The 26,250-nt window shown below is 52.2% G+C and overlaps 2 protein-coding genes across 2 annotated transcripts in view, besides 1 other annotated feature; one reads left to right on the plus strand and one right to left on the minus strand.

The window, feature by feature from the left end:
* Nucleotides 463-757: an enhancer, noted in NCBI's record as "tiled region #4126; HepG2 Activating DNase unmatched - State 1:Tss, and K562 Activating DNase matched - State 4:PromP". NCBI's record gives its function as "activates a minimal TATA promoter and a strong SV40 promoter by Sharpr-MPRA in HepG2 and K562 cells {active_cell/tissue: HepG2 | K562}" and the evidence as "EXISTENCE:reporter gene assay evidence [ECO:0000049][PMID:27701403]".
* On the plus strand, nucleotides 640-23,230 carry OTUB2 (OTU deubiquitinase, ubiquitin aldehyde binding 2). Its single transcript, NM_023112.4, has 6 exons — nucleotides 640-840; nucleotides 11,680-11,775; nucleotides 13,263-13,381; nucleotides 18,271-18,355; nucleotides 18,886-19,080; nucleotides 20,016-23,230. Exons 1-6 carry the CDS (start codon nucleotides 838-840, stop codon nucleotides 20,220-20,222), a joined length of 705 nt encoding a protein of 234 aa, NP_075601.1. The 5' UTR covers nucleotides 640-837; the 3' UTR covers nucleotides 20,223-23,230.
* Nucleotides 22,587-26,250, minus strand: part of DDX24 (DEAD-box helicase 24) — a 32,916-nt gene continuing 29,252 nt past the window's right edge. Inside the window, exon 9 of the mRNA NM_020414.4 lies at nucleotides 22,587-25,762. Coding sequence (NP_065147.1) covers nucleotides 25,491-25,762 — 272 coding nt within the window. The 3' untranslated portion in view covers nucleotides 22,587-25,490. The remainder of the gene's footprint in view (nucleotides 25,763-26,250) is intronic.

Genomic DNA, 26,250 nt, shown 5'->3' on the forward strand with positions numbered 1-26,250 from the left:
AATGCACTGAGCCCCCCTCCCCTACAAACTCTCCCTCCCACACCCAAGCAGCTCCTCCAGGACTCAAGGGCTGGTGAATGAATCTTTGAATGATAAATATTCCTATTTTGATGTCCATTAATAATGAGCTTGTAGGCAAGATGAGTCATCTAGACCTGGTTCACGGATATCCCTACAATTCCAGAGCCACAGAGTCAACGATCCTGGACATTCATTCATTCAACAAACATTAACTGGGTGCGTGGCAACCTACTGATTCATGAGTTGGAAGAGGATAAAATATTATATAGAAGCCATACTTAATGTTATTGGACACGTGTTCCCTAAGCGCCTATCCTCTGATCTTGTGCAAACTATACTTATGTGACCTTGTTTATGAATTAATGACGGCCAGCTAATCCTTCAGAAGACTCCAATTTTAGGTTTGCGCAAAAGCCCTTCAGCCTTTACAAACGAGGACCTGTCTTTCTGGGTTGAGCTAACTCCTCTGCTAGTTAAAAGCTTTCCTGTGTCTTTAAAAGGGGGAGGCATCCTATCAAATGGACCCTAACGCATAGGCTGAAGGCACGTGAAGTCCCACCCACTTTCTATGACGTCCCGCGTCCCGGCTTCTGATTGCCCGCCTGAGACGTCAATCGCAGGGCGTGTGTCTTGCTGGGACACAGTGGAGGTCTAACCTTTGGTTTGCGGAGCGGTCGGGTGTATTCTCCGCCGCCCCCACGCCCTCGAGGTCCCCGCCACCGAACCAGCGGCGGAGCCCGCCCGCGCCTCCCGCGGCATTCCCGCACCGGATCGCTCCTCGCTGGGGCGGGACCTGGCCTGGCGGCTCTGGTCACTATGGTCAGTGATCGTGGGGGATCGCGAAGGGGGAGCGGGCAGGGGGCGCGGTGGGCGGGGTCGCTGCCGGAGCGGGTGCACCCGCGGGACGGGGGTCGGACGCGAGGCTCAGCCCCCAGCTCGCCCCCGCCGCTTTCCGACCCCCTGAAATACGGAGTCCGGACGGATACTGAGGGCCAAGTCGCGCCCCCCTGTACCCCGTGGATGTGCAGCTGAGGAGGTCCAGCTCGGCCCCGAGCCCCCGCCCCCAGCGTGTCCGCCCCAGGTGGCCCGGGGCGCCGCCTCGACGGCGCTGGGTGGGCGCCCTCGACGGAAGCAGGGACAGGGAGGCTGCAGCACTACGGGTCGCCTCCTCTTTGTTAAGTAGCCCCCCAGTCAGCAGTCCACGGCCCCACCCACCCGACGGCTCGGCCGTCAAAGACCTCCTGGCCCCTGCCCCAACCCCAAGGGAGGATCTAGGGGTTGCACGGGGCACCAGGTCGTCTGCTCCGTGGGCGACTAGACCGTCTCCATCTTTGGAGTCAGGACCCACCTAGAGAGGATGCCTCAAGTTGTGAGGCGCATGAGTTAGGGGTCGGGGAAAAGAAAATACTCAGGAATCCCTGATGGAGAGCCTTGTCTGCGCAGAACGAGGCCCAGAGACCCTCTGAGCCAGGCTAACCCTGGGCTTGGGCAGGTGGGGAAACTGAGGCCAGACAGGGCAGGGCTGGTACTGATTGTGGTGGACCTGGGGCTTGAACCCAGGCTCTGGACTCTCAGTTCAGTGCTCTTTGTGTTACATCGGCTCACCTTCCAGGTTGCCGTGGGGTCAGGCATCCTGCAGGGGACTGGGTGGCATGGCTGCCTAAGACCCTTCAACCCTGAGCAGGGGGAGCCTGTGGAGTGAGGGCTGGGTGGCTTGAGTCGGGGCCACACAGCCCCAGGTTCAAGTCTCACTTCCACCTGTTGGAAAGCGAAGAGGCTTTGGTTGGTCCGCTCTCCCCCTCAGCACCGTTTTGCACATCTGTGTCATGGGAACCATGTGATATGATTAGCTGGAGCTTTTCCTGTGACAACAGAGTCCTGGAAATGGGTGTGCACAGATGCCTGGTTCTTCAAGCTTAGCCTCCTCTCTCCTATGACTGGGCAGGAAAATGGGTCACCACGGCAGCATGCTGCCGGGCTGGGGCATGGGTCAAAGCCTGGTCATGGCCTGGCACGATCTGGGTGTGGCATAGGCAGCCAGGGCACTCGAGCTGGGACTGTCCTTGCCAAGCCAGCCTGCTGCCTGGGGCATAGCTGGGGGCCTCTGGAGCATCTGGAAGCACCAGCTTCCTGCTTCCACTTGGTGCCCAAGGGTTTACCTGGTTGAGCTGCTCCTGGAAGGCAGCCCAGGTGTTTCTGCATCACCCACCAGGGAGTGGTGGAGCTGGGGTAATGATGGGCTTAGCCACCCGGGAGCTGGAGGCTGGCATGCCCTCTGGCCACCACTCGGCAGCTGAGAGCACAGCAGAGGCGGTAGCTGCTCTTTGTGCCATGCAGTGAGGCCGCTCACTCTGCTCCCTATCTGCCCTGACTCAGGAGACTGGAAGTTAGATGGCAGATGGGGTCCAAAGCCCTCACCCCTCACCGGGGGCTTGGGTGCCTTGGCGAAGGATGAAGTGGTTAACCCACTAAAATATGACGTCTGTCTGGTAATCACAGGGGTGGAGGCCATGCAGGGTCTTTTCCCTTCCCTGCACATGGCATTTATTGAGCACCTACTGCATGCGGGGACCATACTGGGCCCTGTGCTGCATGGTGGGTTTTTATGTTGAACTTGCATTGTGTGGATGGTGGTGACAGAAGGAATATCCTTGGAAAATACAGCATCTTCTTTACTTTCCTGTTTCTACATCACTGGGCTAAGCTTGAGGAAGGGCGCCCCGTGGAAGACACAAAGACACTTGGGAAGGTAGGGGTGAGACAAGGACCAGACCTCTGGCAGGGACTGCAAATAGCTAGGGTTCTCGTGCACTCAAGGTGCATTTCATGTTTGACGAATGAATGAGTCAGACATAAGCAGGAAAACCGCAGGGTCCTATTGTGCTTTGTTCTGTTATTTGTCAAACAGGCCCCCAGTGGGCACCTTTGTCAGGCCTGTGCTGGGCACTGTGACACTGATGAGAAAGACAAGGTGCCTGCCCGCTGTAGGAGCTCACTGCCTGCTGGCCAAGACAGCTGGACACAAGCAGTGTCTGAGCTACAGGTCATGCCTAAGAGGCCTAAGGACATTGGGAACACAGTGAGAGGTCAATATGCTCTGAGGGAGTGGGGGTGTTGGAAGGTTCTGCAGAGGAGGTCTTTTGAGCTGAGTTGAAGGATGTATATGAGTGTTCAAGAAGGATTTGGGAAGGGCACATTCCTTTTGGCGGGTGCGGGGGGACAGTGGGCTATCAGGCCTTGAAGCATGGTCAAGAATAGGGGATTTTGGCAAAGGTGAACAGCCTCTGAAGATGCAAGGAGATTGAGGGAGGCAGGGAAATTGAGTCTAGAAAATTTGGTGGGGTCAGGATGTTCTGTGCAGGGCCTCACTTGCTGTGCTGTGGGGTTTGGGTTTTATTCCACCAATGAGGGGGAAACCATAACATAATTTTGACAAGTAAGAGATGGTTGACTTGGACGACCTCTCTGACGATGAAGTGGACACAGGGTTGGAGGTAGCCAGGCTGGAGTCAGAGCCTGGCTAGTCCCATGCATGCATCTGTCTATTCATTCATGCAGTGTGTGAGCTTCCCAGGCTGCCATAACAAAGTACCACAAACTGGTGTAGAGCAACAGAAATGGATTCTTACAGTGCTGGAGGCTGGAAGCTCCAGATCAAGGTGTCAGCAGGGCCATGCTCCCTCTGAAGGCGCTAGGGAAGGTTCTGTTCCAGGCCTCCCTCCAAGCTTCTGGTAGCTCCTTGGCTTGTGGTTGCAGAACTTTGATCTTCACGTGGTGTTCTTCCTGTATGCCGGTCTGTGTCCTAATTTCCTCTTTTTATAAGGACACCAGTCGTATTGAATTAGAGGCCCACCCTACTCCAGTATGACCTCATCTCAGCTAATTACATCTGCAATGACCCTATTTCCAAATAAGATCCCATTCTAAGGTACCAAGGATTAGGTATTCAACATATGAATTTTGGTGGGGGGACACAGTTCAACCCATAACACTCCGTATACATTTCTGGAGCATGGCTGTGTGCCAGGCACTGAGGAGCCAGCACTGACAGGCAGACAAAGTCCCTGCCCCCATGGAATTGGCATTCCAGTGGAGGGAGCCGGGCAGCATGCGGGTAAACAGGCGAGCCTATGAGATCATGCCATGAAGAAATAAAGGTGAGAGGGATGGGGTGGGGCATGGGAAGGCCTCTCTGAGGAGGTGATGCCACCTGCATCTTGGGAAAGGCAGAGGAAGAATCCAGGTCAAAGGAGCAGCCGTGCAAAGGCCCTGGGGTGAGAGTGTGTCTTGTGAAGGAACACAGAGAGGGCCACATGGGGTCAGACATGGGAGGTCGTTGTCAAAAGATTGAGTCTTGGCCTAAGTGAGGGAGTCCACTGGAGGGCATGGGGGAAGGGCGTGCCCTTGCTGGTTAAGCAGCTTGTATTGGCTGCTTGTGGAGAATGGGCTGGGATGGGGGCAGGAGTGGAAACCAGGAGGTCCTTGGGCAGATGTTGGTGCAGCCTCCCTGGGGGGAGATGATGGCAGCTTGGACCAATGGGGAGGTCGGGGAGAGAGGAGTGGAGAAGCACTTCTGGGTCTTGGCATCAGCTCTGCTTGGATGGGGAGCTGGAGAAGCCTGTCGGGGGTGGGGGGCGAGGTGGGCAGGAGAGCAGTCAGGGACACGCTAATTCAGTAATGTTCTCAGACTTCTGAGCAGGAGTGGCTGTGGAGTCAGAGCTCTAGGGAGAGGTCAGGCCCGGAGAGGAAGATCTGAGGGCCTGTTGGGAGGATGCTGTATGAGTCTAGGCATAAGATAAGAGGGAAGGCCCGGGCCCAGGTCAGGGTCTCTGCAAAGCCAGCTAATAACTGACCCGGGGGGGAAGCCTCAGTGCAGGGTCTTGTCACTTTTCTTAGTGGAGCAGCAGAGAAGGGACATGTAGCAGGCTGAACAATGGCCCCAATGATGTCCACGTCCTAATCCCCACAACCTGTGACTATGTTACCGTGGCGAGAGGGACTTGGCAGGTGGGATTCCGTTAAGGATACTGAGTTATCCAGGTAGGCGCGATGACGTAATCACAAGTGTCCTTATGAGAGCAAGGCAGAGTGATGGGGAGGGTGGGGGCCGGTGTGTAAGCCGGGAAACCCGGGAGCCTCTAGAAACGGAAGACAAGAAAATAGATTCTCCTCTAGAGCCCACAGAAGGAACACCACTCTGTCGCCATCTTGCTTTAGGCCAGCAACACTCCTTTCGGACTTGTGGCCTCCAGCACTGTCAGATCGCACATTTGTGTTGTTTTGAGACACTAAGTTTGTGCTCCTTTGTTACAGCAGCCACAGGAAACTCAGGGCACTCGGCTGCCCCCAAATCCATGGCTTCCAAACGATTATCATCGCTCACCTCATCAATACAAAAACTCTGAGGCCAGGCACTCATACCTGTAATCCCAGCATTTTGGGAGGCCAAGGTGGGAGGATTGCTTGAGCCCAGGAGTTTGAGACCAGCCTGGGCAACACAGTGAGATCCCATCTCAGAAAAAAAAAAAAAAGAAAAAGAAAACAATGTTGAGCACTGCATGCATACATATGTCACATATCATACCCCTGAGTACACATCTGAAGGGATATTTCCTTCCAGCCCCTGGAGCAGTCCATAGTGCTGGGCCCATGGCTGCGGGCTGCTTGAGGAGTCCTTAGGTAATGTGGGCAGGTTTCAGGTACATACAGAGGCTTGGGAGGGAAAACCAGAAGACAGTGGGGACTCGTACTTTCCCTAAATTTGGAGGTGGGGCTCGGTACATGGATTAGGGATGGGGTATCAGGGGCAACCTCTCCAGCGTCATGGTGGGAGTTTTATACCCTGGCTCTTTAATCTCAGCTGGCGTTCCAGGGATGTAGGAGGAAGGACCAGCAGACAGCTGTAGTGCTGGCTCCCACCAAAGACTCAAAGCCAGTCTGAACACAAAGCCCACGTCCTTGCGCTTTCTGCTAGTTCCCAGGGTTACTGGGGAAAAGCAGTGATTGAAGAACATCCTTTTCTCACTTTGAAATATATTCCTCCACGCAAGCTGCTAAATCTGTTTCCAAGCCACAGTGCTATCTGACTTAATTAATTAGCATCTATTTGCAAACCAGCAATTAAAGGGCTAAAGTCCTTTTAGGTGGCCTAATTAGGTCTGACAGGACATTGTCAGATGTGGCCTGTCCTTTCTCCATAACATCCTAGAAATTTTCAGCCATGGTTTTAAAAGCAATCACGAATGAGAGTCAGCCAGGTCAAGCATCATGCCTGATTTATGGGCTAGTAAATTGAGGGTGTGCCTGGGGTTCTTCCGGGAGCTTGAGTCTCTGGTCTTGCCAGGGGTGTGGCCAGAGCCCTGCTAGTGGGGAGTGGCAGGGGACCAACTTCGGCGGACTTGGGTCATTCTGGAGGTGCCAGGTGGGGACTTGAAGGGCCAAAGCGAGAATCCCCTTGTCCCCAGGTCCCCCAATAATTACATCTGGGACCACTGGTGCGCTGGAGCTAGCCCAAGGTTCCATCACCTGCAGATGGAGGTAGCCCACCTGCGAGACATTTGTAAGCAGGGGTAGCTCTTAAATAGTGTGGAGTAAAGGGAAAAAAATATCCAGAATATCTATAGAATAGTATTATGCAAACTTAAAATGCATGCATACTTACAAGTCTGTATTTTTTAAAAAGACAAATGCATTTCATTTATAAGAGGTACCTAGAGTAGTCAAATTCATTAGAGACAGAAAAGTAGAAAGGTGGTCGCCAGAGACTGGGGGCAAGGGGATGGGGAGTTAGTGTTTAATGAGTAGAGATTCATCATAAGTACACGGAAGAAAAAAAATGGGTATGGGAGTTTCAGTTTGGGATGATTAAAAGCTTTGGGATGGGTGGGGGCGAGGGTTGCACTGTTGTGTGAATGTACTTAAGGCCACTGAACTGTGTACTTAAAAGTGGTTAAAATAATAAATTTCAGGTTATGTATGTTTTACCATAATTATAATAAAAAACAAATATATCTAGAAAGACATGCCATAGAGACTACCCATAGGGGCATGGGGGCATGGAGGAATGGAAATAGGGATCAGGGACAAAGGAGAACAAAACCTGAAAAAATTCCTTCCTGAGGCTGATGCCCACAGTGTGTCCTGAAGGTGTGGTGAGCTCAGCTCTTAGCAGATGGGAGGGCTCCGAACTGCTATGTAGTATTTTCTTCTTTTTGGAAATGAAGTCTGTTGCCCAGGCTGGAGTGCAGTGGTGCGGTCACGGCTCACTGCAACCTCTGCTGCCTGGGTTCAAGTGAGTCTCCTGCCTTGGCCTCCCAAGTAGCTGGGACTACAGGTGCCCACCACCACACCCGGCTCATTTTTGTATTTTTAGTGGAGACGGAGTTTTGCCATGTTGGCCAGGATGGTCTTGAACTCCTGACCTCGTGATCCGCCCGCCTCAGCCTCCCAAAGTGCTAGGATTACAGAGGTGAGCCACCGAGCCCGGCCCTATGTAATATTTTTCCTTAACTTGGCTCTTTTAAAGAGCTTAAGTAGATTTGTCAAAAATGCAAATTTTATGTTAATAGAGCAAGTGGAAACCTAACTTGACTTTCCTGGCATAGGTGCCACCCCCGTTCCTAATCCACCTTTAAATATTCCTCATTTTAACTGTTGATGGCAGTTTTCTGCATTGAAGTACTTATTTCTGCATGTTGAAGATTAATTCCTTAAATCCATTCCACTCCTCCATTGATTACCTCCTCAGACACCCTGCAGAGGAAATGTAGCTGATTTTGTGTCCTCCTTCTGCCATTTTGGTTTTGGTTTCGGGCAGTCCAAGCACAAGCAGTGTTAACTATAGTTGTTCTACTTTTTGATCTATGATTTAAAAAGACCCAAGCCATCATTTTAAGTCAGCTGTCTGTATAAACAACAAGGCTTTTATACAGTATAAACAAATTGTTAGATAAATAACGGGACTTTGGAATGAAGTCAGAGGGTGCGTGAGTGGGAACGAATTGGGCAGAGCAGGTGCGCTTGTTTTTCAGTATTACCTGTTTGTCCTCTTACCATCCACACAAGGCAGCAGAGGGAGAGCTTTCATTCTGAAATGTATAGAATCCTATGAATATTTGCTGTATTAGCACGCAGTATGAGGGCCAAATTAATTGTACAACTAGCAATTGTTATTATGCTAGTAATGTCAATCTTTCATGATTTAGAATAGACCAAAACATGTTAACTTTTTATAAATTTGCCTTTGAAGTCAATAAATCTGGCTTGGTTTAAGTTAAAAGAAAAAACACAAATGAAAATGGAATGATTTTAAGCTGTAAGTCAGAGGCCTGCCCACTCTTGAGAAGAGAGACTAGCAAAGTAGAAAGGAGTTCAAGGTATGCTAGAGACTGTCTTTCTCCTTGATGCGATCAGAAGGCTTGAAGGAAGTGGAACGGCAAATCACTTTCCTTCCAGATATCACTGATGTATTTTACCACCGTGTCTGGATATTGCCTGTAAATCGTGTCCTGTTCCACCTGTGATGAGCACGTCTTGGGCTAGAAAATGCTGTTGTGGACACTGAGCCCCCAGGATCAGGAGCTGGATGGAGAACTTTCCTGGGTGAGGCCTCAGGGGCAGGAGGTGGGGACCTGGCCTGTTGATAAGAAGGCCCTAGGCTGCCCTGTGTGGAATGTTCCTTTGTGTTTAGCAGCCTTGGTCCCTCAAGACCTCTGTGCTCTGCCTGCCTAGCAGTTTGGCATGGTAGAATTTCCATGGGCTTCAGAGTCAGATAGATCTGCCTAAAATTACTTCTTAGCACAGGGCACCTGACCTTGTCAGTAGAATGGGTATAATACCCATCTCAGGAGGTGGTCTTGAGGATTAAGTGAGATAATGGGGACGTGTCAGCCTCTCTCCCTGAGCCTAGCACATAGTATTTGCACAATAATGGCACCTGTTATCACTTCAGACCTCTTGGGCCTAGGGTAGCAGATTGCCAGATCATCTTCCATGTGTTGACTTTCAGCCTCACGCTCGCAGGATGGCTGCTGTGGACATTGCATCTGCATTGACGGTGGGAAGGAGTAGAACGTTCCATCTCTGTTCCTTTTATCCAAAACCAAAAGCTTCCCCAGAAGTCCCCAGCAGACTTTTCATGGGTCCAGCTGGCCAACCCCAGCTACCTGGCTGCCCATAGCTGCAAGGGAGGCTAGGAAAATGGGAAAGAGGTAGGATTGTTGTGACCTACCCAGTCATTTTTCATCATGTTGTGGGATTCCATTAGTGAGGAGGAAATGGGTCACAGCTGATGAGACAGAAGCCCTTGGCACCTGCCCCCAAGTGTTGTCTGATTCCTCCTGATGGCTTTCCTGTTGCTTTGCCAGCCCACGCTATGATGTCAGGGCAGAAGGAAGGAAGGAGCCTGGGGCTGGATTAATTTCGCAAAGAAGGGTCGGTACAGAGTGGAAGCTTCTGGAAGCAAAATCCAGAATCCCTTCTTCCCACCCCCCAAGTGTTTGCATGCCCTGTTTCTTCTTTCCTCTTTTGGAAACATTCTTCATCCAGTTCTTTTTTTTTTCTTTTCTTTTTTTTTTTTTTTTTTTTTGAGACAGAGTCTCGCTCTGTCACCCAGGCTGGAGTGCAGTGGTGCAATCTTGGCTCACTACAACCTCTGCCTCCCCGGTTTAAGAAATTCTCTACCTCAGCCTCCTGAGTAGCTGGGATTACGGGCATGTGCCACCATGCCCAGCTAATTTTTTTGTATTTTTAGTAGAGACGAGGTTTCGCCATCTTGGACAGGCTGGTCTTGAACTCCCAACCTCGTGATCCACCTGCCTTGGCCTCCCAAAGTGCTGGTATTACAAGCATGAGCCACCGTGCCTGGCCCATCCAGTTCTTTAGGACAATGAATTCATCCTCTATTCTTAAGCTATCTTCTGGGAAGTTGCCCTGAATCCCCCATGTCGGGGGGAGATCATGTTTGGTGCCACCAGAAAGGGCGAAACAGAATAAAGTGTAAGTTCAAGGGAGAGCACAAGCCTGACTCAGATGAGGTGGGGAGATCAGGGAGGCTTCATGGAGGAGGTAGCTTTTATTCATTTGTTTGAAAAATATCTCACCCCCTTCTCCGTGCCAGGCCCTGGGTGAATGGAAGATGGCAGACAGTATGACAAGCTGTCATTCCAGGCCCCCCAAAAACACCCCTGCCCAGTCCCAGCTTCTCTCCTGACCTGATACTGGACACAGGATCAGGGCCAGATGGAAGTTTGCCATCTGTCCCATGTGGAGACAGAAGCAACAAAAGTCATTTAGGCCTCATTATCTAATCTCATGGCCCAGCTTTCTGCTTCTGTGGGCTGAGCTTTGGAAAAAGCTAATCATCAAAAATCCGGATGTATTTCTTCAGGTGGAGAAAGGGGTTTGTAGCATCAGAGGGCTCCTCTCTGAGCAGGATGGTATTGGGTTGAGATCATTATCTAGTCAGTGATGAGGCTGAGAGGCTACCAGGGAAGGCCACTGTGGCCGGTGTGACATGAAAAAGGCCAGTTACAACTGGGTGTCAACAATGATGGTGATAAATGAATGGAAAACTAGATTACTATTTACAAAAATCCCAATTAACAGTGACCATCCACAGTGCTCTATTGCATAAAAATGGTCTCCCTGGGTTGTGTGCAGGAGCCAGCCTCATTTATTTTAAGCTGTAAACTATAAGTGGCTTTAACACCATGTCTCTCACAGTATGTTCATGCTGCAATCAAAGCGGCTCTGGGTGGGTTGGAGGCTAGAGTTGCATCTCCTGCTTGTTTGAGCCCTGCTGACAAGATAGCACAAGGCGGAGACCAGGCCCACGGGGAGTTGGCTGCTAGAACGTGTCTCCTGCAGTTTCCTTCACCCTGAAGCTTCCTTTTGCAGTTGCCTCCTCTCTGTCCGCCAATTTCTTCTCTGGCCTGGAGAGATCCTGCCTGTAGGAGGCTTGTCTTTCTGGGTTGGAATTGACCTAGACCCAGAGCTGGGCTGTAGTGTAAACTTTCGCCGGTAGGTGGTGCATGAAGATGCCCTCCTGCCCTGTGCTCCCCGAGCTCAGATCTCTGACACCTTCTCTGGCATCTCCATGTACCAGTGCCACACACTGCGGCCTCTTCTGGTGACCTTATCACCCCCTATCTTGATTGTTTTTCCCTGTAGACTGTGAGCCTTGTGGGTGAGGGAGTGCTAGACGTCCTTCCTTCTGTATTTCCAGCATGTGACACAGTGCTGGGCATGTGGATGTTCAGGAATTGTTGGATGAGTAAAAGAATGAATGAACGAATGAATGAATGCATGAATGAGAGAAGAGGGATGGAAGGAGACAAAGGGCCTTATCCTCCAGCATGAAGGTTCGTTAAGTTTGAGGTACACATTCTGTGAAATGAATCAGGCTTCCAGTAAAAAGATGAGTTTCCTTATAACCAGGGCTATCTCTTCACGATGGCCCCGACCCTGACTATCCCTGTTCTGGAAATGCGGTGATCCCAACGGGCGTCTAGGATGCTGGTAACATACTCCCAGCATGAGAAGGTGGGAAGGTCTCATTCATTGTTGTCTGTAACCGGCAGTTCAGAGGCCACCAGCTCGGGGAGTCCCGTCCGTTGCTTTTGAAATTGTCACAGCATTTCTTCCTTCCCTATCTTTCAGAGTGAAACATCTTTCAACCTAATATCAGAAAAATGTGACATTCTATCCATTCTTCGGGACCATCCTGAAAACAGGATTTACCGGAGGAAAATCGAGGTGAGGCAGAGGGCAGGGAGAAGAGCATCCGAAACTAAACAGGCTGGAGTTGGGAGTGTAATGGTGATGCCTCTTTGAAGGCCGATAGTTTGGGCCAGGTTCCTGGGCAAATGAAAGGATTCCTAGGATATTTTGATGTTGGACATTTGCCTTAGCGATAAATCCTTTCATTCCAAAAAAAAAAAAAGGATTTTTTTTTGTTGAAAAGTTTAGCACTATCCTAATGTTTTATTTACTCACCAATACTTCATTACAACTCTGTGAGGTAAGTACTTTTATTACCCCCATTTTACAGCTGAGGAAACTGAGGCACACAAATTAAGTGGTGGCCATTTAGTTCATGAGTGGCCAAGCTAGGATTTAAACCCAGGCAGCTGAGTCTCAAGCCACATTCATAACTGCTGTGCTGGGAGACCTCTTGGAGGGAAAGTTTACGCCAGTGAGGCTAAAGGGATTTGTGGGAAGGCTGCAGGGATCGCTCATGGAGCACTCACCCGTGGATGGCAGGAGGAGCTGGGTGCCCACTCTGTCCCTCTGGTAGGAGGCCCTGGCCGCTCTCTGCACTCTGCAGGTCTTCCTCTCGCTGCAGGACAGGCTTGCTCTGGCACTGGCCCCACAGGCCCTTCCCTTCAAGTTCCTCTCAGACACGCAGCACCGTTGCTGGGCCTCATTACTTATCCTCAGAGACTCTGATAGGTCCAGCTTGGGTCAGATGTCCATCAGCAGCCAGGGGTAGTGGTGTGGGCATCATGTGATCCGAACGCCGCTGCGGGGCACTTCCAGGGAAGGAGCTGGGCTCTGCAGCCCACTGACTTTTGTGTCCCCCAGAGCCCTCCTGGGAGATGAGCCAGGGGCTCCAGAGAGTGCCTGCCTCCCCACTGCCAGCTGGCCTCAGGTGGGCCCAAGTCGGCTCTGAGCCTTCTCATGGCTATGGGGGGAACAGGAACTCCAAGACCCCTTGAAAACCATCCTCTGCTGTCAAAATGCTGCTTATAGTCCCATGAGGCAGGAAAGGGGATTCCAGGCCAGTTCAGAGGGACACCTACTTACTGCTAGGAGTGGAGCTGGAGCCCACCCCTCCCGCCCCTGCTCACACATGCAACCCCCTACCCCCTACTTCTGCCAGCTCCCGATTCTCAGTGCTGCTCCCCCAGGAAGGCTTCCCCAACTTCCAAAATCCAGTGCAATGCCAGTGCCCCGTGGCACCCAGCCAGGCACTCCTGTCCCCTCACAATGCCACTGTCTAATTATCCATCTTCCCTCCCGGACCGTAGGCTGCCTGGGGGCAGGGACGGACACACAGGACAATGCAGTGTATTTTTATATCAGGGGAATGAACGAGGGTGGGAGGCTGAGGGGATAGCAGCCTGAAGGGAGGGAGCAGACATTTCCTGGGAGAGATGGGGGGCACCTGGCCAGTCCCAGTGCCCAAACCACACAGAGCCGTTGTTGGTGCAAATGCCCACATTTCTTTCTGTCCCCCTCAGGAACTCAGCAAAAGGTTCACCGCCATCCGCAAGACCAAAGGGGATGGGAACTGCTTCTACAGGGCCTTGGGCTATTCCTACCTGGAGTCCCTGCTGGGGAAGAGCAGGGAGATCTTCAAGTGAGTGCCGGGGCCCCTTGGCCTGTCAGGGCTGTGTTCTCTGTGCTAGGTCAGCCTCAAGTCTCTCGGAGGTTTTCGTTACACTCAGGCTGGTTAACCCAGAGAATGAGCTGAAGAGCTGCCTGGCAGAGGCGTTTGATGTTGGGGGTGCCCAGCTGCCTGCTGTGGTGAAGTTGGGGGCAGCCAAGGGGTGGAGGATGGAATCTGTGACCTCCCAGATGCTTTCCAGCCTCTGCTTCCACCACAGGCCTGGGTCAGCCCAGGTGAGTCGCAGGGAGCAGGTACTTCGTGACCCACTCTGAAAAGAAAAGAAAAGACAAACAAAAAGAAGCTTTGCCCCGGTGTTCTGCATAATTCCTGTTGACCTTGGTGTGGAGTGTGTGTGACCCAGGCATTCAGCTGGCTGGGCCTGTCCCTGAGGTTCATGCTGGAGAAGGTCTGTGTCCAGAGCTGCCCCTGTCATCTCGGCTAGTTCAGGGCTTCTCATATCTGAAGTTTGTACAAGGCGCCTGGTTCTCTAGTCCATAGCAAGAAAAAAAAAAGCAAAGACAAACAAACCCCTGAGACCTGGCTTGGACCCGAATTCCTGTCCAGTGGGAGCAGGGCAGAGCAGGGACTGCTTTTGTCACTGGCTCCCAGGAGATGCTGATGCTGCTGGGCCTCAAACCACGCTTTGAGGAGCAAGGAGCTAAGAGACCCACCTGGCTCTTAACCTTTGGGGGTCTCAGAGCCCTTAGAGGCTTTGGTGAGGGCCATGGGCCCTCCTCATCTGAGACCCGCACCGACATGCTCTCTGGAAACAGTACGGGGGGCAGTGGGTCCCAGAGCACTTCTTTGGCTGAGGCAGGTTTCTCAACGGCGGCATGACTGACGTTTTGGGCCAGATCATGCTCACGGTGGGGGCTGTCCTATGCATTGTAGGCCTATTAACAGCATCCCTGGCCCCCTACCCGTGACATAGTAGTAGTAACCCCCTCCCCAAGTCATGACAATCAAAACTGCCTGCAGACACTGCCAAAAACCTCTTTCGGTGGAAAAAAGTCGACCCTATCTGGTTGAGAACTACTAGGTTAAGGCCATCGTCTCCTGTTCAAAATATAGATGATCTCAAAGAGGGTAGAAGTTGAGCCATCTGTTCCTTGGCTGAACCATTCAGATTGTTTTGCCAGTGACAGACTGGCAGAGCCCCTTTTGATGGAGAGTCAGCTATCTCAAGCCATTCCCCTCCCCAACTTTCTCACAGCCCTGTGGGGACCAACACAGCACAGTGCAGGGATTATGACCCCAACTTCATTTCCCCACGACCCATGTCCCCTGGAGTTGTGCCATGCAGCAGCCCTGGGCTCTGAGGCCAGACCTCACTCTCTTGCTTACTTGCTGTGCGACCTTGGGCAAGTGACCTGATCTCTCTGATCCTGTTTTCATGCCTGTGGAAGGTGGACATTATAACACACTTCAGGGGGCTATTGTGAGGACTCAGTGGGTGATGCTGGCTAAGCCCAGCGCCTGCATTTCTCTCTGCACCAGCCCACGTGCTCTGTTTACCTTCACTCCGTCCTGTCTCCCCACTCCAGTCAGCACACACGGGTGCCATGCTCAGACCCTTCTCTAGGCTGTGGGGATACTGCAGTGAACAAGAGAGACAAAATCCCTGCCTTGTGGGGCTTGCGTCCTAATGGTAGAAGATGCACAGTACATGAGTATCACGTTTGAGGTGTCGGATGGTGATAAGTATTGTGGGAAAAATCAGGCAGGAAGGAGGCCGAGGAGTGCAAGGTCTGGGGTTGGCAGTTTCAAGCAGGGTTGGAGAGGTAAGGGCGGCAGGGCACATAGGGCCTTGGGCCTTTCTAAGGACCTTGGCTTTCAGCCTGAAGGACACGGGAGCCACCGAGGGATTGCGCAGCACGGGGGACCTGCCCTGCTGGCTGCTGTGTGCAGGACAGACGGGGGCGGAGACACAGCCAGGGAGATGTGGTCGGGGAGAGATCCAGAGGGGAGATGGCTGTGGCATGAGCAGGTGGATGCAGTGGGCATGGCAAGAAGTGGGCAGGTCTAGACACCTGTGAAGGTGGCGAAAGGATTCGTGCCCGACTCACATGTTGGACATGGCAGAGTCAAGAATGGCTCCCAGAGGTTTGGCCTGAGAGTTAGCAGGATGGAGAAGCCGTTTGCTGCAAAGGAGGGCTGAGGAATATCAGGAGCTGTGTTTTGCGATGCTGTCTGAAATGTCCGGGAGCCATAGAGTAGGGGTGTCTGGTGGGCAGTGGAGGTATAAGGCTGGCGTTCAGCAGGCAGGCCGGGGCACACAGGTGATAAGTCAAACCAAAAGGCTGCATGAGACCACCAGCATTTTTTCTTTCTTTTTTTAAAATATTTTCCTTCTCTCTTTATTTTTTCTTAAGAGATGGGTCTTCCTATGTTGCCTAGGCTGGCCTCGAACTCTTGGGCTCAGGCGGTCCTCCCTCCTCAGCCTGCATCTTCTTAACACAAAAACCGAGACCATGTCACTCCCAAGCTTGAAATATGCCCCTGACCTCTAGGAGCAGTGGAAACCCCTGACACCAACGCCCTCCACACCAGGCCCCTGCCTCTCCTGCCCCGTTGCCTACCCACCCTGAGTTCTAGGCACAGGGACTCACTTATCCTACACACACCAGAGCTTGCAGGCATGACATGCCGCCTGACGCTGCCTGGGCCTAGGTAGCCCTGCTTCTGACCCGGCTGTGGGTTCCTTGGGCCCCAGGCAGGCTGCTTCACTCACTCCTCTGTAGCTCCTTTCCCCAGTTGAACAGTGGCCATAGCCCTGTCACGGACATTAAGTGATTGACTCGTGAGCACTTGGAACACTGACCTGGGGTGTTCCGTGCTAGCTCTTAGCGTCAGCGTCATGCATCCTCCACAAGCCACTGTCTCCCTGTGTGCAGTGAGCCCAGAGCCACCCAGGCAGACACTTGTTCTCTGCTCAGTGCTGCTGCAGGGCTGGAGCAAGCGTGTTGCAGCAGTATGCTTGTTCCAGCCCTGTATCTTGCATACTTGCTCTAGAAGTATGCGAAGTACTTGTGTGTGCCAGAGGCTTGGAGAACACGCGCCGCCTCTGAGGGCAGCCACTGTTACTACCACATCTGATGAGCAAACAGAGCCTCATAGAGGTCAAATGACTTGCCAGAGGTCCCACACAGGCTTGTGTGCAGCCCCAGCGGTCTGAACTTGCACCCCCTCCAAGCCCCAGTGCTATCCTTCTCCCTATCCCTGGCTTGCCTCTCGGGGGTGCATGTCCTGGCCTGGGGGCTTGCCCCCTTCTGACAGAGCCTACGACTGCATGCTGCTTATCTCCGTGCCCCAGTGCCTGGCACAGAGGGGCCCACAAGTCACTGGCGAGGAATGAATGTGGAATGAGGCAGAGGTTTGGGGGTGGGAGGGGGGGCAGGAGAGCTGGGAGCAGAGCAGTGCACTTCATGGCCATGCAGGGACAGAGTGGCTAGAAGAGGGTGCCGGCCCTTGGAGCAGCCCTGGAGGACTGCAGCTGCTTCCTGGAGCTGCTTCTAGTACTCTGGCCATGGGCCACCTAGCCGCAGCTGAAGACTGAACAGGGGGTGCTGATGAGGGTGGCTCCTGAGTGAGAGGCGTTAGCCAGCACTGACCATCAGATCCTTGCCCTGGCCAGGAGGGGAAACCTAGGCAGCAGGTACCACTGCAGTGGAGGCCTCGTCCTCCCAGGCAGCTCTCCGTTCGCCCTCAGCACCCCTGCAGTCAAGGCGTCATCACCATCCACACTTGCGCCAAAGTGGAGCTTATGGCCAAAAGCCACAGGGGGACTTGACAGGGCTGGAGGGGACTGCGGCTAGAAGCCAGCACAGGCTCCATCCCTCCAATCCAGGCACCTCACCCTGCAATCAGGACAAACTAGTCCTGGCCCAGGCAGGACTGTTAGATATGCCAGGACCAGGCAGGGGCAAGCGGCATCTAGGCAAATACTCCTCCTTCTGAGTTAGGAGACCAGCTTCCCGTCCACACCCACCACCTTCTCCCTCCTCACTGCCCCCTGTCCTCCTACAAGGCACCAGGCTTTTCTGGAGCACAGCACCTTCTGAGGTGGCCCAGGCCTCTGTATTCCCTTGTGAACCTTCTGCCTCCTGGGTGCTGTCAGAGCCTCATCTCCGTTCCCAGGCAAAGTGAGGGGCTGGAGAACTAGGTGTGGCCTTAGTGTTCTGCGCCTGCCAGCTGGTCACCCAGGGCCGCTCACCTGGTCCTTGTGGGAGGCAGCCCTTCCTCCATACCTCGTTGCTGCCACTAAACTTGGGAGTGTCCTGGAGCCAGGGCCAGGCCCAGGCCTGGGTTTCTTGCCATACCCCCTGAGGGCACCAGGACAGGTCCCAGAAAGGGGCTGCGCCATGAGGGGGCCTGCAGTAGGTGCAGAGAGTAACAACCCAGCATGCGCAGAGCAAGGGCCTGTGGAGTGGGTCCCCAAGGGTAACTTGGTGCTGGCAGATGCTTAACAGCCGGCTGTGGGCGTGCGGGAGGCCTGATGTGTGTTGTCAGCCGATTGCTGTGGTGTCAGTATTCAATATTATCATGACTGAGTCAAGCTGCCCTCATGAGGTCACTGAGTAGGGAGTTGGAAAAGATGCAAAATCACACACGCCCTTGTCGTATCGTCTTTCCACCATGCACACACACACAATGCAGCTCAGCCACCAGGGCCCGGCAGGGCCAGGGTGGAGATGTGCACGGTGCATGTGGCTGTGTGTTGGGGGCAGGGGCGGGAGGTTCTGCGGCTGGACTAGAGATGAGGTTGGTGGGCGCAGTGGGTTGAGAGGGGGACGCACAGTTGCCAATCACAGCACTCTCGCTGTGTTTCCCTGTAAACACTCAGTCTTCCCCCTCTGTAGGTTCAAAGAACGCGTACTGCAGACCCCAAATGACCTTCTGGCTGCTGGCTTTGAGGAGCACAAGTTCAGAAACTTCTTCAATGCTGTGAGTTCACCTGGTCCCTCCTTCCACACTGGCAGAGCAGACAGGAGTGGGCACTGGCTGGAGCCCCTACACAGCCCACAGCTCTGCTCCTCCTGGCTGGGGAAGGACAGAGGGTTCCTTCCTGCTTGTGGGGGTGTGTGGGCACAGGGAGCCCTCACCCTATTCCCTCACCCTATTCCATCTCCACCTCATGCCTCCCTATCCAATTAGTGAAGGGGCGGGATCGAGGACTCTCAGACGCTTGCCACTCTGAGTGTGCACGTGAGAATCCAAACCCAGGTAGTCATGGTGGGGAGACCCAACTGCCGCTCCCAAACATGCCTCTGGACTAGTGTACAAACTGCAAAGTCTTGCTAACCCTGGGTTACTTAGCTTAGGCAGAATCTCAGACTGATTTTCTAACTCAACCTGAGAATCTACAAATGAAAATGCACGTGAGGGCTTCACGCGAAGGGAGGGAGCGGAGGGAGAATGCAGAGGGAGGGCTGGGGCTTGCTTGGCCTCCCTAGCTGAGGGCCGGGCGGGCGCAGTTTTACAGTGTGGTGGAACTGGTAGAGAAGGATGGCTCAGTGTCCAGCCTGCTGAAGGTGTTCAACGACCAGAGTGCCTCGGACCACATCGTGCAGTTCCTGCGCCTGCTCACGTCGGCCTTCATCAGGAACCGAGCAGACTTCTTCCGGCACTTCATTGATGAGGAGATGGACATCAAAGACTTCTGCACTCACGTAGGTGCTTGGGGTCTCAGCCCCAGCCCTGGGCTCTGCTCCTGTGGCCCTGTCCTGCAGACTTCAGCACCCATCCGTAGCCAAGGGACTCGGGTGTCACGACTGCCCTTGCAATTCAAACAGAGCTAGGTCAGCAAGCTGCAGACAGGTCCCACCTGAGCTGCCTGAGCTGTGTGGCCTGAGGCAAGTCACTTCCCCTCTCTGGAGATTTCCCATCTGAAAAATAAGGGATTTGGACTGGCCTGTTTACAAAACCACAGTCATAGTCCAAGAGTCACATTTGCTTGACGTGTTTATGATGCATGGTATTTACCAGAAAGAGTTGCCGATATTTAAAAATTAGGCACTTTTCATATGAATATTTGGATTTCTGCTGGAAAGTAAGAAGTACAGCCCCCAGGTCCTTGCTCTTGCAGGGCAGTCTCAGCAGGCACTAAGCAGCAGCTGCCCTCTCTATGTAGGACATACGCCTGCTTGCCACCGCCTCTGCTTCTTCCATCGTCTCTGCAGCACCCGGACTCGCACCCTCACTCACCAGCCTAGCCTCTGTAAACACTTAAGCTTGAAAGGCACCCCTGGATGACAGGGTGCCTTTTATCTCTAAGATTCTTTGATGCCCAACCTGAAAAATGTCTGCCCCCCGTTTCCAGATCCCTCTAAATTAGTAGCCTGCTGTCAGGTGTAACTACAAGGTCTAGAATGGAAAAGATTCAGGTTCGATTCTTGCAATTGTAGCGATTTCTAGCTATGCTGCCTCTCAATGAGGCTGTTTCCCGTGTGGCATGAGAACGTCCATACCCAACTCATGGGATGTTGTGAAGATGACGTCCCAGCACAGAGGCTGTGACCATGACCCTGAGAGCCAGAGCTGAACTCACTTGTCCTCTGCCAGGCCTCCCTCCTAAGCTGGCTTGTTTTCATTTTGGCCCCTGCAGGAAGTAGAGCCCATGGCCACGGAGTGTGACCACATCCAGATCACGGCGTTGTCGCAGGCCCTGAGCATTGCCCTGCAAGTGGAGTACGTGGACGAGATGGATACCGCCCTGAACCACCACGTGTTCCCTGAGGCCGCCACCCCTTCCGTTTACCTGCTCTATAAAACATCCCACTACAACATCCTTTATGCAGCCGATAAACATTGATTAATTTTAGGCCATGCAGTGGAACCTGTCACCTAATGGGACTGCATTCTGAATGGAACATTCCGGCTCTTCAATTTTTTAAGCAATTTAGACTGTAGCAAGAAAATGTGCAGCCTTTTGGGCAAAGCCCCTGGGAACGAGGCCTATCCACTATGGACTATGGTAACTTGGTAGGATTTTTAGTATTTATTTTAATGGAGGGACAAATGCTTTCTAACTGGGCCCCCGACTCCGCACCCCAGTTCGCAGTGAGGCCCTGGGTGGGTCACCTGCCCTCTCTGGACTTGTTTCTTCAACTGGAGGAGGTCCCTGCCTATGCTGACATTCCATTGTAGAAAAATGGGGCCTCTGGTGTCTCTTTACCAGGGGCAGTGCCTCTCTGCGGGGGAGGAAAAGCTCAAGGTTAGCTGTCTTAACCCAAGTGACTTACCAGGCCTACAAAAGAGTCCAGTCCAGTCACTTGTTGGACTGGGCTCTGACAGATGGCCTATTGAGGTCAACTTGAATGTGAGGGCTACGGTGTGGTTTCAAACATTCATGATGGATGTATTTTCCTACCCCTAACTTAAGGAGAAAAAAAAAAAGACTTCCTTTTTTTGCCAAAGTCCAGAAAGGGGCCTTTAGCCTTTAGTAGGAGCTCAAATTGTTGGGGCCCCTCTACCTCTCTCAGGGCTAGAACTGCCTGACTCTTGGTGGACGAGCCCTTCAGGGTTCTGCTTTCAGCCCCACCTGGACAGAGGCTTACAAGACTAGGGTCTGGACCAGAATCTGTGTATTTCTGTCTGGGACCAGGAAGCCGCAGCTGTCCCATCATCCCCAGCAAATCCTAGAAGTGGAGTCTGGATACTTCAAGGATAGAAGTGTTGGCACGCACAGCCATGGACCCAGCTGAGCAGAGCAGACGCTTTGCAGGCTGCCCCTGGCTTCTTCCTCCCTTTCCCGCTTCTGCTCTCTTTATGGACTGGTCAGAGGGTAGGTGGGAAAGAACAGACAAGCCATGGGAAGTTGGCAGTGGGGAGATTTCCACTGTGGAAACCGCCTGGGAATTCCGGCCAGCAGCTTCCTCCTTCAGCCACCTGGCCATACCCCTTAAATAAGCCCCTCACCTTGCTGCCTCAGGACCTTCAAGATTCCATCTGTGGGCTGGCCGGCAAGATGGCACCAGTGGGGACCCACACCCTGGCTGGGCAGAGGTGCTGCTAGCAACCTCTCTTCCTCTATAAGAGGAAATGGAAAATGCAGGGTGTGGAATTGCCCTTTGGGGTCCTTCCTTAATTGAAGGCCACCTTCTCACAGGTTTCATTCTGCAGGGATTTACTGGAATCTATTGGTGCTGCTGCATGAGTCTGCTGACAACCTGACTGCACAAGGACTGGGTAGCAGACTCCTCAGAGTCCTCTTGACACAAATGTCAGATTTGTGTCACTCTTCTGCCTTCGTGAAAAGCCAATAGCACTCTCAGATATCAGGGGATTTTAGTTCCAAGCAGGGACCCTGGTTTCCATACTGCCCTCAGCTGGAGTTTGGATCCAAAGGCTCTGGCTAAGTCATTATGTCACTTTTTCACAGGAATGTAAATTTGACTGTCACCTCTGAATTTGTTCAGTGTCCCACCATGGTCTATGAGAAGTACACTGGAAGCGTGGGGGGAACACATGACATGATTTGTGAATATCATCATCTTTGCCAGACAAGTCTCCAGGGGATCCCTGTTTCCCAACTGAAAGGTGTGAACGGACACACACACAGCCTGGATGACGCCTTGGCTGTTCTAAGGGGCTGTAAGGTGGGCTCTGGGCCTTCCAGCTAGGCTCTCAAGCACAGCAGAAGCCTCACTGGGCTGCTATGTCTCTGTATTTGTGGCTTGTGTGGTAGCCTCAGAAGCAGAGCTGTTTGGCAGACTGGCTGGAGAAATTCCCTCTAGGAGACTTGCCTGTGCTGTGCTTCCAGGTCACAGAGCCCCCCGGAAACTCACAGGGGCCCTCTTCCCAGAAAAGAATCTATTCTATCACTTCAGAATCAGGACACTCAAGCTCTGGCAGAGGAAGGCCAAGTTACTTTCATGGTCTTACCCTCTGCTTTTCCCCTTTTTGCAAAAAACCACTGGCCAAATCCGAACCATTGCCCTTGTTTCCCCCACGTTCTCTCTCAGATCTTTGTCTCGAAGGGAAAACATAGTGGATGAAAAGGTGTGGCAGGCTTTGGCACCTTGTTAAAATTTCTAGTCATCTGTGGATGTTACCTTGCTTGTCCACAGCAGCCAGTCACCCTGGCCAGTCCCACTTCCTGGATAATTCTCTACCCTCACCCCACAGAGCCATCTCTCTCCAGACCAAAAGCTGGAAGGAGAGTTGCTTTGAGAGCTTGTTTTTACAACTGCATGTTTATTATGATACTTTCTCTCCAAAGGAAACTTTTAAATCAATGGGAACAATTAGCAACAGAAAGAGCACAGTCCCTGCTTTTGACTGGGTTCCTATTTTAAGCACAAATGAGAGCTCTGGAGCCAGAATGCCAGGGTTCTAACTTCAGCATTCACTTACTAGCTGTATGATCTTGGCCAAGTCACTTCACCTCCCTGAGCCCCAATTCCCAAGTTTGTGAAATGGCAACAATACCTATGTGTCACTGGATTATTGGTTAAAACAGAATGAGATTCCTTGTGTGAAAATAGCTATTATACCTGACACACTCATCGTATGGGCTCTGCAAAGGGATATTCCCCAACCTGTCCTTCCTGACAGGAAGCATAGGGCACTGCAGATGGGGAAGCATGTCACCTTGGCAGTGACTCGGTGGCTTCCCAAGCAGGAGTGTCAGGGGAACCATGAGAGAGAGTCTAGGAGCAAACACATCACCACCCTGAGCAGATACAGGAGTGGGGAGGGGGCTGTAACTCAGTGAGTGGCTTCCAGGGGCCCCAGGCCCTGCTGGATGTGGGCCAAGCCCTACAGCTTCCCTAGGCAGTAAGTAAAAACATTCTCCTAGCATTAAAATGGTTTCCATAACTACTTTTGTCCTGGCTTCTTAATACTGGGTACCTGGCATGCAGCCAAGAACTCTGCTTTTCCGTGGTGCTTATGTATTAAGTAGATTAGCTGGGGAGGGATATTCCTTGTTTAATGGCAGATCCAGGACACTCCGGAAGCTCTGCCCACCAACTTCACCTTACCAGGCGAGAGTAGCACTGCTTGGAAGGCTGCTCCTGCCTTTTAAAGCCTGTCTACGTATTAGCTCCTCCACCAAGGAAAAGAATTTGCTGTTAGATGGCTAGGGCAGGACACGGACAGTCATCAGGGGATCTATGTTTGGCTTATGGCAAGTGGCTTCACTCCCACGGCTCAGGTGCCATTAGGGGATATTAAGCCCGCTTACTAACCCCACTGACCACCACTGCATCATTTGGAAAATGGAGAGTCTCCCTGCCATTCTCTGATAGCTGTCAGTCAGGAGCTGACCTCACAGACGGGCAATTTCCCCTCCTATTCCGGTCACTGGTGACACTGGGGGATGGGAGGCCATTCCTTGGCAACACTTCTGAGACTGAAGTAGTTTTCTGAACTTGTCCTGGGCCCAGAAGGAAGATACTAATCCCACCTCTGCTACTTGGCTGCTGTGTGGCCCTGGGCAAGTCTCAATCACTGGGTGTCTATATGCTCAAGTACAAAAAACACTAATAAAGACTTATAGATGGGCACAGTGGCTCACACCTGTAATCTCAGTACTTTGGGAGGCTGAGGCAAGAGGATCACTTGAGGGCAGGAGTTTTGAGACCAGCCTACGCCAACATAGTGAGACCCCATCTCTACTAAAAAAAAAAAATTCAGCCAGGTGTGGTGGTGTGTGCCTGTAGTCCCAGCTACTTGGGAGGCTGAGGCGGGAGGACTGCCTGGGCCCAGGAGTGTGAGGTTGCAGTGAGCTGTGATTGTGCCATTGCACTCCAACCTGGGCAATGGAGCAAGACCCTGTCTCAAAAAAAAAAGAAAATTATTTCTCAGGACCTTCAAGACTAAATGCTAATTAGATAAAAGTGCCAACCATGAGGCTGAGAGAGGCTAGCTACTTAGATCTTGGGGTATCTTGGTCCCTTTGTGTATCCTCTTCAATTCCCTAGCACCCCTTGAACTAAACAGCTGTATTGTATTGTGCCCCGACGAATACCTGTTTGGAAGCCAGACAGCTGTGCAGAAATCATCTATGCTTCTCCCATGGTTGTGGGAGTTGTGGATACTCACCTACACTGATCCAGACAAAGCTGGGGCAGCATCAGGAAGTCCCTAGTTCCCTGAGCACATATTTATACCAGGCTGACCAAGCCTTGAGTTCCTCTTCTCCCAAGGAGCTCAGCTAAGGGAACACAGCATGGCAAGTGCTATGAAGAGGGTAAGCACGGGACACTAAGGGAGCCCCAGGAGAAGCACTGCTTCCCCTTAGAGGCTCAGGACTAGAGGACCCATGGCAGTGCTCCAGGATGGAGAAGGCCAAAAGGCAATCCAGACCGAGGGAAAAGCCTATTCTGCACAAAGGCTCAGGACAAGAGAAGGGGTGCATGGAACCGTGGGCAGGAGCCTGCTCTGTCAAACAGGAGGGAGTGGAGACAAGGCTGGGGCTAGATCCTGAGGGCTTCACACGCCAGACCTAGCGACTGTTACTGTTGGCTCTGTGATGTGAGGGAAGCCTGAAGACAGCAACCTCATCCCTGCCCACCTCCCACGGTGGCTCAGACAATACCCAGGAGAGTGGAGAGAGCTAAGGAGCTATTAGGGTGCTGCTCTGGGTAAAGCAGGAACATGCACCTCTTGAACATTCCAGCCTCTTGCTCCATTCACACTGTCCAATCTTGGCCTGCAGCCAGAGGCCTGACACTATTCCTGTCCTTTCAAGGGCTTAGCACTGTGCTGGCCCAGGAGAATCACTAAGTTAATAATGAAACAAACTACACCACCACCCCCATCTTCTATCTAAAAAAAAAAAAAAAAAATCAGGATGACACAATGGCTCTGACCATTGTTTTTAATTTATGAAATCAAGTTTAACACACAAGAAGCCTATAAACACTGCAATACAGAAAAATTAAGCTGCTGCATTGAATTCTTACTCCAAAACAATGCAAATCTGCATGAGGTCTCTCCCGCTATGGGTGTGAGTGGAAGAGAGGGAGACTTTTTTACCTGGGGTTGGTGGTGGAGTGAAACACAAGGGTGGGAGAGGTTTTGCAAATAGCCAGAGAACAGAAACCAATGTGCAGTCACTGACACACTTGACCAGTTAATTTGCACTTGTACTTGGCTGTGGCTGTTCCGGCTGTGGCTCCTTCGGCTTCTTTGTCTTCTTCTTCTTCTGCTTGGAGAGACAGCTCAAAGCAGACTCGCTCTTACTTGGGGCAGACACAAGCAGGGGCGGCTTGCCAGACTGAGTGGGATACTTGGTTTTCTGGCTCTCCGTAAACAGTGGCTGGGACAGCAGGTGGCGCAGCTCCTTCTTCAGAACCTTCATCTGCTTTTGTCTCCGACGTTCTTCTTGCTGGTCAGCTTTTCCTCCTTGAAACACAATACAAAAACGATCCTATTTACTATGGTTTGTAGAAACATTTTGTTTCCCTTGATGGGTAACACAGTGAAAAATGTTTTAGAACTACTTTAGGGAGGCAGGGTTCAAAAGTTCTCTGAAGAAGCTAGTGGTGGCTTGGCAGGGGCTGTAAATGGATAACGTCTAACCATTTGCAGGGGATACACAGGACCGCTCTGTCCTTTTTTACTCCATAAAAATCCTCCAAGACTGGAATTATCTTTACAGATGAGGCAACTCAGGGTTAGAGAAGTCACCTGGCTCACATCACAGAGCCAGTCATCAGACAGAGCCCAGAACCCAAGTCTCCTGACTGAAGATCACTTTTCTTCCTATGACCCACCCACTTACTGCCCACCTGGGGTTTGGTGAGTTCACAATTACAACCCCCACCTCCCTGCCGCCCCAGGAGACACTGAATGCTTCTTTGTAGCCCAGCTCTCCTATGCCTTGCCACCAG

The sequence above is a fragment of the Homo sapiens genome, chromosome 14 (genome assembly GCF_000001405.40).
Source record: "Homo sapiens chromosome 14, GRCh38.p14 Primary Assembly".
Classification (NCBI taxonomy): domain Eukaryota; kingdom Metazoa; phylum Chordata; class Mammalia; order Primates; family Hominidae; genus Homo; species Homo sapiens.